The following is a 14,546-nucleotide window of genomic DNA, read 5'->3' as shown; positions in this document are numbered from 1 at the left end:
GAAATTAATTAGCACCATTAAAATACTTCTTTTCATCTTCAGGTAACACTGTTCACTAGCTTGAAATATATATATATATATATTTAAAATATGTTTTCGGTTGACATTTCTTGGGGGGGATGTCTTTTTTAGATTCAAAGACTAGTGCATATTCCTTGCTTTTTGCAGCTCAGTCTTTGCAGCCATACTTCAAAGGAAAATTTTTCATTGCATTCCTGCACCATCACATTCATTTGCAAAATATTTCCGTCTTTGTATTCTGTCCAAATGGGTCACTAACATTCTAAAACAGGATACCGACATTGGGGAGATAAGAAATGTGGCTTTGAAAATAGGCTGTGTTCAACAGGATTCTTAAGACAAACACAGAACACAACAAAAGCACAGTCTATGTACATTTATTTGGTGGTAAGCATCTTACAAATACGGGCTTTCTGTCAGGCAGTGCTCAGCCAATGTCCCAAACTGGCTAGTAGGGAATTAGTACACAATGTACACTGAAATGGTTTTTTAAAAAAATCAAAAACAAGTTGCCGCTGAAAAGAAAATACTGAATATTGAGCAAATTGCCATTCAGTTCCTTAGTGGATTACAGGTGTTAACATCTTCCTTAAGCTGTACATATTTTCATAATGAATACACAGTATGACATTTACAGCAGAAGCATTAAACAATTTGGGTGAAACCCCATTAAAACAGTCAAACTTGAGGAAACGACTTCTGTATTTCCAAAAAGCCATTTAAAGAAAGGTTTGAAGTAGCTCTTCCTGAATACTGCCCACAAAATAGCTGAGGGTGAGAATTTTAGGGGGTGTCTCAACTCCAGTAAAGTAGCATCCTCCCCACCTCCAAACACCAACTTAAGAATGGACATGTACATATAATTGGGCAAAGGAAAGTTTACAGGGGAGATCCCCATGCACCCCAAAAGCAGCAAAAATCCTCTTACATTTTCTGCCAGGTCTTGAATCTCCTTAAGTTTGACACCAATCACATAACTTTTAATTCACAGAATATACAGTGCAAAATATCTGACCCTATTGAGACAGAAGCTGTATAGGCGCCTGTGATGACAAGACAAAAAAAACATTGGCTACCAAAGGGTAGCCAGAATCCTTTGTGGACATTGAGACATGCACGCATTCACCGCGACTTTCCATAGGAATTACAAATCATATAGGATTCGTTAGGGTCTCCAGAGTTTTAAGGGGAAAAATCCTATTTTAGTGGGGAAAGTGAGAAGGATTTAAAGCTGACAGTCTTTGATCTCAAGGTTTATACCATATACATACCTGCTCTAGAGAGGGATATTACATTTCACTGTCCGCTCCTCTGGTGGAACATTGACTACAGGGAGAATTTTAGGGGATTAAAACATAGGAAGGAATGAAAGTAAACTTGCAAGTTGAAGAAAGCCCCACAGAAATTCCCATGATCTGTTTCCTCTAAGGCCAACCTCGAAATCATCCTGGTCTCTCGTCCCTCAGCAGCCAGGCCGCAGTGGCATCTGCAGCAGCAGCACTTGCCGGCTTTCTGAGGGGTGGCACTTATTGATGTGCCGGGTCAGCCCTGGAGAGCTAAAAAAAGTGGACGGGCAGTGCTTGCACGAGAAAATTTGCTGGGCACTCCCGTCAGATGGCCCGCTAGGGCCCGACGTTTCGGGAGGAGCCCCCGCCAGAGCGGGCAGGAGCAGCTCCTCGCGGACAGCATGCCACAGCCGGTGCTTCTCCCTGATATCTGCTGTAGGGAAGTGCGCTCCGCACAATGGGCAAGCGAAGGCAAGTGGGGCACCGCGTTCGGAGCCAAAGCCCGGCGCTAGCGCACGGGCCGAGCCCGCCTCGTGAGTGCTCAGGTGCTTGCGCAGATAGGCTTGGCGACGAAACTTTTTGTGGCAATATGGGCACACGAAAATCTCGGATCCCCTGCCACCACTGGTACTGCCCGGCACAGGTACCCGGCGCCCCAACACCCCCTCCGTGTAGGGGCCCTGAGGCAGCGGTGGCTCTGGATGCGTCAGCACCTGGAGGCCCTGCCTCGGGGCGCTGTCCGGGTGCTGATCCGCCCCGGAGCTGTCCCTGGCCTGCGGGTGCTGATCCGCAGTCCGCTCTATTCGGCTGTTCTCCTTTCCCTCCGCCAGAAAAGATGCAATGGCCCCGGAGTCCCGGGAGGACGAAGACGACGAAGAAGGCGGCTTCCCGTCGGCGGAGGAGACTGTGGCGGCGTTTGCAGCCGCAGGACGCGGCTTATGCCAGCGGCGATGGGAGGCCAGGTTCGCAGGACAGCTGAACACCTTGTCGCACTCAGGGCAGCGGTACTCTACGCGCACGATGCGGGAGCAGCGGTGCTGGGCCAGCGCGAAGGGGTCTGCGTACTGCTCCTTGCACAGCTGGCAGATGAACTCCCCCAGTGGCGTGCGGCTGCCCCCCAAGCCCCGGGACGGCGCTCCGGGCTCCTCCTCCTTGATCTTCAGGCCCAGGACAGGGGATGTGGTCACCTCATCGGCAAAGCTCAACTTCCTCATGGCCTTTGGCTTCTTGATTCCCGCGGCCGCGGGTCCAGACGCGCAGTCCGTGGGTGCCTTGCCGCGGCGCTCGCCGCCGGCCGCCCGCTTCAGACTCTGAAGGGCGGCCGAGAGGGGCGCAGGGTCCGGCTGAAGCGCGGGCTCTGGGAACGGCGCCCGAAGCGGCAGCAGAAACTGCTCCCCCGGGGTCGGTGCGGCTGCTGGCGCCACGGAGCAGGAGAAAGCGGCCACGGCGGCGGCGCCCCCGGGGAAAGACTCGGCGGAGACGGGCGAGCTGAGGCAGCGCTCCAGGAACGCCCGACGCAGCTCTGCGCCTGCCGGCTTCGCTGGACTGGGGCTGGGGCTGGGGCTGGGCCCGGGACCTTCCCTGCCACCCGCCCGCCACTCCGCGCCTTCCCGCCCGCCCGTCCCCGGGCTCACCCCAGCCGCCCGACATGGCGACCCCGACTGTTCCCGGGCCGCCTCCGCCGTCAACCCCTTTCCTGGTTCCTCTCGGGTGGGGGGTGTCGCCCGCTCCGCGCCGGGCAAGGAGGCGCTGGGAGCCTCCTCCAAGAAGGGCGGCGCCCCCTGGGGCCCCAGCAGAGGGAAGACACGCTCCGCAAGGCGAACTCGGTACAAGCCGCCTGTCCGTTTAGTTCGCTTCACCAGGAATCCCCTTGGCATGGTGGAGTCGAGAGCGCTCTGGGACAAGAGGAAAGGGGGCGCCACGGGGACTGAGAGCCGGCCAGCAGATGAACTAGAAGAGCTTCGCCGCGGCTGTCATGCCGGGGCTATCTTTATAGCTGAGACGCGGGCCGGGGTCCCGCCGGGCCTCCCCGGGCTGGCCCGGCCAATCAGGAGTGGGAGCGGGCGCCGGGGGCGGGGCTTTCTCCCGTGCCGATTCACTGGAGTAGACGAATCTGGCGGCGGCGGCGGCGCACGCCCAGCCCCGCCTCACAGCGCCGCGAACCTGCCCCTGTGGCCGGCTGGGTCCGCCTCCCCCTGCAGCCTCCCGGGCGAAGACGCCAGAAGGTAAGGTCCAGAGTGTGAGGGAGCTCGACACTCCCCGCCTTGGCTGCCTCCGCGGAGCGTCCCACTGGGGAGCCGGGCGAAAAGGCCACCTCACGACGCCCTCCGCTCGGGCCGGGACCCGGCTGCCCCCAACGCGAGGGCGTCTGGCTGAAAAGCTCCCGCTCTGCGCCGGACGGCCGAGCGGAAGGGGCGGTGGGCAGAAGGTGCGGCGGAGACCACGGGGTGGGTGTCCGGGAGGGAACCGGTGCACGTCCTCTGCGGGTATTGAGCTGATGAGAAGTGCGACCGAGCGGCCGGACAGCTGACTGCACCGCCCTGTGGCTGCTGTCGGCGGCGGGAGCACGTCCGCCCGCCGGTATCGATCGGGCCCGCGCGCGGCGGCGACACTCGAGAGTTCATCTCCGCAGAAGGGCTCTCAGCGCGGGAGAGCGTGCCTGCCCGCCGCCAGCCTCCGAGTCGGGACGCCCGAGCGCGGCTGGGTCCTGGGCGTCTGCGCTCTTAAGTGCTTCTCGATAGGAGCAGGAGTAGGGAGAGGAAAGGAGGATCTCATTTTCCACTGTCCTCGCATAAAGTGGTTTCTCTGTTCACACTTTCCACTTGTACTACCCAGAGTATGACTTAATTCCTAACCGGCCTGTTTAGCATGGAGTAGATTGAGTGAGAAATGCCGGCGGAATCAGCATTACAGCTGCTTCCCCGTACACCACAAGTGATACTTTGCAAAAGGTGTGCTGTAGAGCAAACTCAACAGATTTTCATCTGGCACCCTGCAATGCTCCCACCACTATTTTGAGAACTAGAAGAGGTTTGAAAGTGTTTAGTAGTAATTGAACTAGGCAACAATTAGACCATCTATGACAGATATAAAGTGCCAAGATCCATAATATAGGTAAATAAAGTGTGAGAACAGGAAGGGGAAAGACTATGTGCACAAGTCTCCTTACTAAACCAAATTGGAGAAAAAGACTGACAGAGGTGTTTTAAAAGTACACGATAGCATAACAGATGTAGTCATCAATAAAACACATTGTCTTTCTTCAGTGAAGTATTTTTACAGGGAGAACATTATTTTGAGAAAGATTTGGAAGTAATTATATATTAATCATTGACTATGTTATAGGCATTCTGCTTAAGTAATCTCTAATCTTCATACACACGCACACAACATGTACACACACAAACCAAAAAGGAGATATTATTTCTCTCTTTTTTCAATGTGGTGATTGAGCCATTTAGTTAGATAATGGGTAAAAGCCAAGCAGAGCTCAGATTCAAACTTGTTCTGGCTAATTCCAAAGCCCAGACTCTTTCCACTACACCAATGGCTTCAAACTATTTTTTTCCTTAATCACATCCCACAATAATAAATGTGTTCTATAGTATATACACACATGTAACTGAAACAAAAGTCTCACAAAATAATACTGTGGGTCCTAATCTATTTGTAAATTATGAAATCATACATTGAAATGTTTGCAGTGCATTCTCATATTTTTCATTGTATTGTATTTTGTTTCTTAAAAATAGCAGTCATAGAAAATACATTGATTTCATAATTTACAAATGGATTAGGACCCACAGTTTGAAAAACACTCATTATATTGTCTCATTAAATAGCATGAAATGATACAAAATTAAATAAACCTGATACTGCATAATCACAATATCTGAACCACTGTTTAAAATATTTGAGTCCTTTAGCAGTGTTGGTAAACTTAGTTTCCCAAATTGGTCATTTCTGACATGTCAGCTTATATGTGACTTCTAACTCAAATTCTCAATTCTCCTTTCCTCCTCATGATCCATACATATTGTGTGGTGTGGAAAATCTGATGTAATAATTTTAATACTTTAAGATAACCCCTTTTCCAGAGAGAGAAAGGACTCTTCCCCAGGGGCATAGTACTTTGTAAGAATTGCTGTCAGATATTTTCTACCAGATCCGATAGTTCCAATAGCTCTCTCCTTCCCTTCCCAAGTGTAATTTAATAACATCCTTTCTGGAAATCATTGTAACAATTTACATCAGAAGCTTTAAAAAGTATGTATACATTTAATCTACCAATTCCTCCTTTAGTAAGTCATCCAAAAGAAGAGCGAAGATTTATGCACAAAGCTGTTTATCACAGTGTTATTTGTAATTATAAATAATCAGAAACCATCTTGAGTAAACTATAGTATAGCCGTGTTATAGATGATTACGTAGCTTTAAAAATGTAATGATAGAGACAAACATATATACCATAACTAAGCAAAAACAGCAGGCAGCAAAAGTTGCTTGTACAATAAAGAGCTCAGTTATGAAAAAAACGAAATGCATATAAGACAGTGGAAGGAAATATGCCAAAATGTTGTTGGGATTGCCTCTAGTAAGTAGGAATTCAAATAGTCTTTTTTTAACTTTTTTGTTAAAATATTTTGCAATAATCGTATATTACTCTGATAATCAGAAAAAAAAAAATTGCAAAACTGCCTTAAATCCTTTCTGGAGTTAAATGTGGTACCCTTCCCCTAGGATACTAGCACACTGCAACATCAAATGGAGAACTGTACAGATAAGTAGCATTCTCCAGGGCCATCTGTTTGAAATCTGGCCCTAGAAGAGAGTTGACAAGCCTCAATCATGCCACAGGCCTTCTAGTTGAAGAACACTTTTGGGAAAAGACTAAGGGTTAAAAGATAGAAAGGATTAAAATGTGGGGAAGAGAAAGAATTTAAATGCGTAATCCCCCCTTGGGTATAAACTTAGATGATCCTTCAAGATACAAACACTCTTTCTGTAGTTTCTCACTTAAAAATTACGATAAATAGGGCATTGCCAAAGCAAGATTATAAAATCTTTGTTTTATTTAATATCTACCTCCTTTCTCTTCACAAAAAGATTAAACATTCAGGACCTTCATCTGCTCTCAGTTATACTTTGGTAAAAACTCATACGCACTGGATTATCTCTCAAGCTATTTACATTTTCTGCTTTCTCTAATTGCGGGATACATTTAATTTAAATTCAGAAATTTTGAGACAATAGAAATCGGAACATTTTTTGAAGAGAGAGGAGACTTCTTCTTGCCCTGAAATCAGTGTGTATAAGACAGGCTCAGATGACTAACCTGCTTTTTATCACTTGAATATCTGGGAGATTACTCAGAAGGAACTTTATTTCTTCTGTTTCTCTGCCCCCTCACCTCCACTTAGACATGTCCCTGTAAAAGGTTAACACCAGCTGCAGCTACTACAGGCCCATTGTCCCTAGGAACTTGAAAGTCAAACAGTCTCTCACAAATCTAAAACCAAACTCTTGATTTCCTCTCCTAAACTTAATCCCCATCTCAGTTTTCCTCATCCCAGTAAATGGCACCTTCATTCAATTAGTTGCCTCAGCCAAAACCCAAAGACTTTGGGTTAAAGCTAAACACCCCATATTCAATCCATTAGCAGTTCTTATCAGCTCTATTTTCAAAGCATTTCCTGAATCTGAATCTTCTCAAATTCTCTACCACTGTTACTCTATTTGGTCTCTTGCTTCCATCCTTGCCTCCTTATAGTGTATACTTTATTCAGCAGCAAGTTGTATCCTATTAGAATATAAATCTGATTCTTTCACTCTTTTGTTCAAAATCTTCAAGTGGCTTCCCAACACATTTAGAATAAAATCCAAAGCTCTGCTTGGTCCCTGGATATTCTTAAACCACATCTCCCACTCCTCTTTTCCTCATTCAGTCTGCTCCATCTAAGTGGACACCTTATTTTCCTCAAACATGACAAGCACACTTCCACCTCAAGGCTGTTTATTCTGCCAGAATGTTTTTTCTTCAGATATGTTCACATCTTGTTTCTTAACTTCATTTGTGGATCTTTACTCAAATAATACCACCTGAGAAAGATCTTCCCTGACCACCCAAACTAAAATAACAGCCCTAACCCACCATCACCCTTCATCATTTTCTTCTTTTTCTCTACTGCCTGAAGGATATCTTCATCATTTTCTGTCCCTTTACTTTTTCTTCATAGCATTTATCACTATTTGCCACTGTATTATGTATTTGTTAATTGTCTGTTGTCTCTATAAAATCCAGGACGGTAGGTTCTTTGTTTTGTTCTCAGCTTCGTTTTCATCTGGTATCTAGATCAATGCCTGACATATATAAATGAATTGATGTCTAAAATCATAAGCTACCAGGTTCAAAAAAAAAGCATCACAGTTTCTTGTTACTGCAACCCACAGGCCTGAAGCCCACCCTGACTGAGTACAAAAGAAAGTATACAAAGTCATAAGGAGTTCTAGATCCTAGGCATTTGGGAATCTTAGTCCAGACAAATGAAAGGAATAGGAAAGTCTTTCTTGTATCATATGCCCTTGGAAGTCTTTTCCTCCCACCTCAGCCACTTGACCCATGGCTTAGATCACCACCATTTTCTTCCTCTGAAGCCATTACCTATAGGGAAAATAAACCCCAATTCATGACAGGAGCCTCTTATTTTAAGCTGTTTAGTACCCAGGATACTAGAAGAATGGGAGCAGAAAGAAGCGGTCAGCTACTTAGTAGGAAAGATAAGACTGGCAAGAGAAAACTACATGTTTAGGAAACAGGGAATTTTAGGCAAAAATAAGATGTACAGGATAGGATCCAGTTTATTGAGAAGTTCAATCTAGGACATTTAAAGGGAGGTTGTATAGGGTAGTTAGTTGAGGGCACAGGCTTTAAAGTTAGACAGTTTGAGTTTAGTAGAGTTCCAGCTCCACTACTAGCTGTTTAATCTTAAGCAATTTAGCCTTTTTAACCCTCAGTTTCCTCATCACAAATGGAAATAGAAATAATTATCTCACAGGGTACTTTGGGCATTACATGTTATTGTGTTTATAAAATACTTATCACAATGCATGGCACATAGTGAGTCTTAAATGAAAAGAGGGTGTTATTAAGTGTCTGAGGCGAAGGAAGACTATTGACACTAATGGCAACCCTAAATTCTTCAGAAATAACAATAATTTCTTGTGTGACTGGCTGATATTTTATACCCAATTATGATGCAAGACAGTAGTGATTATGCACACCATTTAATGTGCTCAAAATTAATTTTGTTTCATGTGGTTAAAACAAAATTCACAAAAGATGTAAAAGACAAAAGAAGGCAATGTAGTGTACTGGGTTATGCCCATGAGTTGGAGTCAGTCAGATCTGAGTTTGAATCTCGGCTCTGCCATTTTCTTATTGCGTGACTTAAACAGGCTGTTTAACCTCTCTGGCTTCAGTTTCTTGTCACATAGGCATGACAACACAGTACAGTATTTTCCATAAATGGGCCATCAGTCTGTTATTTTTGTCCTAAGAGGGTGTAAGGAGTGGAGAAGCTGAGACTGGAAAGATAAACTGGGGCAAGATTGCAAAGCCCATTATAACCACACTAAATTGAGTGCGGATATTTTTAAGTGAAAGCTACTGCTTTTTTTTAAAGCATTTAAATGATATAATCAAATATTTGCTTTGAAAAGAAAACTGTATGGCTATGTTGGAGCAATGCAGCTGTGAGGCTGAGGGAAAGATGTGGAGAAGGTAAGAAAGTGGGATGAGACTTGAGGCGTGAAGCTCAGCTGAACAAATATTAAAACAGTTGATAGAAGATGAAGTGGGCCTAATTATTCAAATATTGAATAGATTTAAATAATTGACTGATACACTCTATAATTATACTTATCTATGTTTTCCTCCCTGTATTGAGCAGTAAAATAGATAATACACATTCTAAAAACTTGAAAGCAGAGGGAATTTATAACGACTTTCATTTGGTCATGAAAGACTGTTGAGATTGAAATTCACTTCAGGACGTATAAGCAATGGGAAAATAGTGAACTTGAACTAGAAGGAAAGGATTTTCAATAGCATAAGATGTCAAATAGAAGAGGCTTTTTAATTTCTTTATGCTGGGTACATGATAGTTCTTTACTCTCAGCCATTCTCACATTCCAAATCACTAGCACTAACTGTGTCTTCTAAGACAGCTCTCTCATCAAACTATTTTAGCCACTTCTTTGGCTCAATATGTAATTCTACTATATTGCAGACACTTAAACGTTTGTCAATGTTGTACAAAGATAGCTTCCTAATATTATTAGAGATCCTCCGATAGGAATGCTTACCTCCCTACTTCCAGCCTTAAACGAATAAGTATTTTCTGGAGCTGGCTCATTGCTAATAAAGAGTAGATTCGAATCCTAGCACTGTCATTTACTAAAGAGGTGATCTTCGGCTGGGCGCGGTGGCTTATGCCTGTAATCCCAGTGCTTTGGGAGGCCGAGGTGGGCAGATCACCTGAGGTCAGGAGTTCGAGACCAGCCTGGCCAACATGGTGAAACCCCATCTCTACAAAAAATACAAAAATTACCCAGGCCTGGTGGCACTTGCCTGTAATCCCAGCTACCCAGGAGGCTGAGGCAGGAGAATCACTTGAACTCAGGAGGCGGAGGTTGCAGTGAGTCGAGATCACTCCACTGCACTCCAGCCTAGGCAACAGAGTGAGACTTCATCTCAAAAAAAAAAAAAAAAAAAGTGGGGGCTGATCTTAAAATTTTTGCTCAATCTCTCTGTGTCTTAGTTCTTTTCCCCACATTAGGCATAATAATACCGACATAATAGGATGAGAGTTAAATTAAAGGAGATAAACTAGTATCCTCTACAGAGCTGGCTCTTACCAAGTGCTCAACATTGGTGTGTTTGCATTGCTTGTAATAAGGGTAGAGCCTATCTAACCTGCTTTTATGTACACAAATAATGTGTTATATGTGTTCCAAATAAACACTTGGGAATAATGAAAATTGCTACCTGGCTGGACGGGGAAAAAGCCATGTCAACTTTTATCTATATCTATATATTTATATTTAAGATTCCATTCACATGCTTGAAAAGAATGTATATTTTGCAGTTGTACATACCAAGTTTTATATTATGCCCACCCCTCCACATATATATGGTAATTTATGTTATTTCTCTTTATAGTCTCTCAACTTTTGCTATATAAAATCTTGAGACTTTCTCATAGTCTTAAGATTCATATGAATGAAAAACAATATCCGTTTGGTTAATTGAAACCTCTCATAAGTATAAAGTATCCCTCTTTATCTGTACTAATGCTTTCTGCCTTAAAGTGTTTTGTCTGATGTTTTCCTCTAGACATATCAGCTTTCTTTTCGTTGGTGTTTACAAGGTATGTATTTTCCTTTTAATTTCAACCTTTCTTTATTATTATGTTTCAAATGTGTCTCCTATTAGCTGTTGGATTTTTTTTAACAGTCAATCTTTAGCTTTTAACTGAACCATTTAGTCCTTTTACATTTCTTGCTACTATATTTAGAATTAAATATGCCATCTTCCAAAGTGCTTTCATTTGTCTGATCTATTACATTTCTTCTTCTCTCCTTTTTGTCCTCTTTTAGATGGATATCTGATTTTTATGTATCAAATCCTCCTCTTTACCAGTTTAAAATTATATTCTTTGTATTATTTTATTGATTACTTTTAAAATTATATTACACATTTTTAATTTGTCAAAATTTAATAATATAAGGAAGTCAGAACACTTGAACTCCATATATTCTTTCCTGATTTGTATGCTATTGTTGTGTATTTTAATTTTGTATTTTTGAAAGTCCACAAGACTATTATTATTGTTTTATACACTTAAACACTGGATTTACTTAAACATTTTCCATTTTCTTTGCTCTTAATTCCTTGTATCTAAGACTTTTCATGTGAGATCATTCTCCTCCTACCTGAAATACATGCTTTAAAATTTCCTTCATTGTAGATTTGATAGTGGCAAAATATGTCTCCTCTAGTATATCTCAAATGTCATTATTTTATGGTAACTGTTTTGTTTCAGCACATTGAAAATAATATTCCACTGTCTCTTCTTTCCCATTTTTACTAGTGGAAAGTCAGCTGTTAGTATATTAGGACTCTTTTGAAAGTAATTTTCTTTTCTCTGGATTCTTTTTTTTTTGTTTTTTGTTTTCTTTTTTTTGAAATGGAGTTTTGCTCTTGTCGCCCAGGCTGGAGTGCAGGGGCATCTCAGCTCACTGCAACCTGCGCCTCCTGGGTTCAAGTGATTGTCATGCCTCAGCCTCCTGAGTAGCTGGGATTACAGGCACCCATGACCAGCTAATTTTTGTATTTTTAGTAGAGACAAGGTTTTGCTGTGTTGGCCCGGCTGGTCTTGAACTCCTAACCTCAGGTGATCTGCCTGCCTCAGCCTCCCAAAGTGCTAGGATTACAGGCGTGAGCCACCACGCCTGGCCTAGGTTATTTTAATATTTGTTTTTAGTCTTCAGTCTTAAGAAGTTTCACTTTAGTACACTTAGGTATGAATTTCTTTTCATTTATTATTCTTTCAGTTTGTAAGACTTGTTAAAATCAGTGCTTTGGGCCGGGCGTGGTGGCTCACGCCTGTAATCCCAGCAATTTGGGAGGCCAAGGCAGGCAGATCATGAGGTCATGAGATCGAGACCATCCTGGCTAACACGATGAAACCCCGTCTCTACTAAAAATACAAAAAATTAGCTGAGCGTGGTGGCAGGTGCCTCTAGTCCCAGCTACTCGGGAGGTTGAGGCAGGAGAATGGCGTGAACCTGGGAGGCGGAGCTTGCAGTGAGCCAAGATCGCGCCACTGCACTCCAGCCTGGGCAACAGAGCGAGACTCCATCTCAAAAAAAAAAAAAAAAAAATCAGTGCTTTGAAGTAATGTCAGTTTGAAAAATCCTCAGCAGTTAACTTTTCAGATAATTGCTTCTATTTTGTCTTATCTTTTTTTCTCCTTCTAGAACCCTGGCCAAACCTATGTTAGACATTGTCACTGTACCTTCTGTGTCTTTTTCCTTCTTATATATATTTTTTTCTTTTCTTTTCTTGCCTCTGGAATATTTCTTCTGATGTTCTTCAGGTTTACTAAATCTTGAAGTATGTCTAATGTAGTATACACTTAAAATCTGTTGGATTTTATTATTTATTTATTTATTTATTTGTTTGAGACGGAGTCTCGCTTTGTCGCCAGGCTGGAGTGCAGTGGTGCAATCTTGGCTCACCGCAATCTCCACCTCCTAGGTTCAAGCGATTCTCCTGCCTCAGCCTCCCGAGTAACTGGGATTACAGGTGTGCACCACCATACCCAGCTAATTTGTGTATTTTTAGTAGAGACGGGGTTTCACCATGTTGACCAGGATGATCTCGATCTCCTGACCTCGTGATCTGCCTGCCTTGGCCTCCCAAAGTGCTGGGATTACAGGCATGAGCCACGGCACCTGGCCCTGGATTTTAAATTTGTATTTTAAAAATTAGCTATAAAATTTATTTTTATTTATAAAATAAAAATATATTTAAAATCACAATAAAATTCTATATGATTCTTTTTTCAAAGTCAAACCTGCTGCGTTACTCTTTGTGGTTTTCTGTTCTCTGTAGACAGCATCAAGTTGGTCTTTTGTCTTTAAACATACTCTTCATAATTGTTTTGTAGTCTTATTTTATAGTCTGAGTCTGATAAATTCAATATTTGAGTTATTTGTGAGTCTGTTTTTATTGTCTGTTGTCTCTACTGATACTTGCCCGTTTAATCTAGTTTCCTTATGTATCTGTTATTTTTTTATTAGGTGCTGAACATTACATTTGAAGAATTATTTCTAGAAATGATTTTAGGCCTATAATAAAGGTGTCTTGCTTCAAAGAGGATTTATATTTGCTTCTGGCACTACCAATTTAGAATTACTTTAACCCAAGTTCAAGGCTTAAAATTCACTGACCCAGGCAATTTGAATACAAGCAGTAAATTCTCAAGGGCTTTGGAGTCCCAGTATCTTGTTGGGGAGGATCTTCTATTAGATTTTCTATCTTATACACATCCTGGGTTTTTCTTTCTGTCTCCCTTGCCCTGCAAGTCTACCAGAATGAAGATTCTAATTGTCATGAGTCAGAAAATTTCCTCAGGGCAGAACAGTCTCCACATATGGGTTCCCATTTTTCCTTCACCTTTAGTAATTCCTTACTGTGTTTCATACTCTTTTATGCTTTAAGAATATTTTTAAAATCCAGCTCTGTTAGTTATTTTCACTAGGAGGATTTATCTGCTTAATTTAGCCTAACATTACCAGAACCATTAAATCAGAACAACATTTTAAAAGTTTTTGGTAATTATTACAAAGCTATCCTTCACAATGATTGTGCCTATTTATACTTCTGTCAGCAGGCATAGGAGTGCCACTTTTCCTGTTCTCTCAACTATGTTCTGTCAAACATGAGAAAAAATATTGCCAGTAAGATAAGTAAAAAGTGTAGCCGGTCACGGTGGCTCACGCCTGTAATCCCAGTACTTTGGGAGGCCAAGGCAGGCAGATCACTCGAGGTCAGGAGTTCAAGACCAGCCTGGCCAACATGGTGAAACCAGTCTCTACAAAAACTACAAAAATTAGCTGGGCATGGTGGCGCTCGCCTGTAGTCCCGGCTACTCGGGAGGCTGAAGCAGGAGAATTGCTTGAAACCGGGAGGAGGAGGTTGTAGTGAGCCGAGGTCGCGCCACTGCACTCCAGCCTGGGTGACAGAGTGAGACTCATCTCAAAAAAATAAATAAATAAAAGTGTTGTTTTGCGAAAATAAACTTGTATTTTATTATTAATGAAGTTTAACATCTTATAATCTATTTATTGAAATTGTAATTTTACTCTTTGTAATTTAACCTATTCAAATTTTCTGTTTATTTTTCTCAGAGTCCTTTGTTTATTATATAGCTGGTTCCACCAGAAAAAACCATTTCAGTTATTAAAATATTAAAATACTTCCATAACATTAGCAAATAACCACTACCTTTCCAAATGCTCTTCCCCTTGACTCTGGTCAGTTATTGTAGCCTCTTCACTACCCACCTCCCCATTATCCATCAGCTAAAGAGTTAACGCCCAATATACCAATGGGGCTCTAGGGCCCTGCTCCAGCTCTATGGCCATTATCAGTTCTGATTGGATAGTAACCAT

The 14,546-nt window shown here is 42.7% G+C and overlaps 1 protein-coding gene across 1 annotated transcript, besides 8 other annotated features; it reads right to left on the bottom strand.

The window, feature by feature from the left end:
• On the bottom strand, nt 383–3,273 carry INSM2 (INSM transcriptional repressor 2). Its single transcript, NM_032594.4, has one exon. It carries the CDS (start codon nt 3,182–3,184, stop codon nt 1,484–1,486), a length of 1,701 nt encoding a protein of 566 aa, NP_115983.3. The 5' UTR covers nt 3,185–3,273; the 3' UTR covers nt 383–1,483.
• Nucleotides 1,184–2,006: an enhancer, noted in NCBI's record as "H3K27ac-H3K4me1 hESC enhancer chr14:36004637-36005459 (GRCh37/hg19 assembly coordinates)". NCBI's record gives its function as "activates a minimal SCP1, AML or CMV promoter by ChIP-STARR-seq in naive and primed H9 embryonic stem cells {active_cell/tissue: H9 hESC(naive and primed)}" and the evidence as "EXISTENCE:reporter gene assay evidence [ECO:0000049][PMID:30033119]".
• Nucleotides 2,007–2,830: an enhancer, noted in NCBI's record as "H3K27ac-H3K4me1 hESC enhancer chr14:36003813-36004636 (GRCh37/hg19 assembly coordinates)". NCBI's record gives its function as "activates a minimal SCP1, AML or CMV promoter by ChIP-STARR-seq in naive H9 embryonic stem cells {active_cell/tissue: H9 hESC(naive)}" and the evidence as "EXISTENCE:reporter gene assay evidence [ECO:0000049][PMID:30033119]".
• Nucleotides 2,177–2,326: an enhancer, noted in NCBI's record as "active region_8280". NCBI's record gives its function as "activates an Ori minimal core promoter by ATAC-STARR-seq in GM12878 lymphoblastoid cells {active_cell/tissue: GM12878}" and the evidence as "EXISTENCE:reporter gene assay evidence [ECO:0000049][PMID:35858748]".
• Nucleotides 2,831–3,654: an enhancer, noted in NCBI's record as "H3K27ac-H3K4me1 hESC enhancer chr14:36002989-36003812 (GRCh37/hg19 assembly coordinates)". NCBI's record gives its function as "activates a minimal SCP1, AML or CMV promoter by ChIP-STARR-seq in naive H9 embryonic stem cells {active_cell/tissue: H9 hESC(naive)}" and the evidence as "EXISTENCE:reporter gene assay evidence [ECO:0000049][PMID:30033119]".
• Nucleotides 2,831–3,656: a biological region, named in NCBI's record as "H3K27ac-H3K4me1 hESC enhancer GRCh37_chr14:36002989-36003812".
• Nucleotides 3,287–3,656: a silencer, noted in NCBI's record as "silent region_5678". NCBI's record gives its function as "represses an Ori minimal core promoter by ATAC-STARR-seq in GM12878 lymphoblastoid cells {active_cell/tissue: GM12878}" and the evidence as "EXISTENCE:reporter gene assay evidence [ECO:0000049][PMID:35858748]".
• Nucleotides 3,655–4,479: an enhancer, noted in NCBI's record as "H3K4me1 hESC enhancer chr14:36002164-36002988 (GRCh37/hg19 assembly coordinates)". NCBI's record gives its function as "activates a minimal SCP1, AML or CMV promoter by ChIP-STARR-seq in naive H9 embryonic stem cells {active_cell/tissue: H9 hESC(naive)}" and the evidence as "EXISTENCE:reporter gene assay evidence [ECO:0000049][PMID:30033119]".
• Nucleotides 3,757–3,836: a silencer, noted in NCBI's record as "silent region_5677". NCBI's record gives its function as "represses an Ori minimal core promoter by ATAC-STARR-seq in GM12878 lymphoblastoid cells {active_cell/tissue: GM12878}" and the evidence as "EXISTENCE:reporter gene assay evidence [ECO:0000049][PMID:35858748]".

The sequence above is a fragment of the Homo sapiens genome, chromosome 14, assembly GCF_000001405.40.
Source record: "Homo sapiens chromosome 14, GRCh38.p14 Primary Assembly".
NCBI lineage: Eukaryota > Metazoa > Chordata > Mammalia > Primates > Hominidae > Homo > Homo sapiens.
Note: the sequence above shows the minus strand (reverse complement) of the source record. Positions and strands in the feature narration are given on the sequence as shown.

What these genes read in the sequence shown, in the direction of transcription:
- INSM2 (NM_032594.4), bottom strand. Translation starts at nt 3,184, where the DNA reads ATGCCAAGGGGATTCCTGGTGAAGCGAACTAAACGGACAGGCGGCTTG.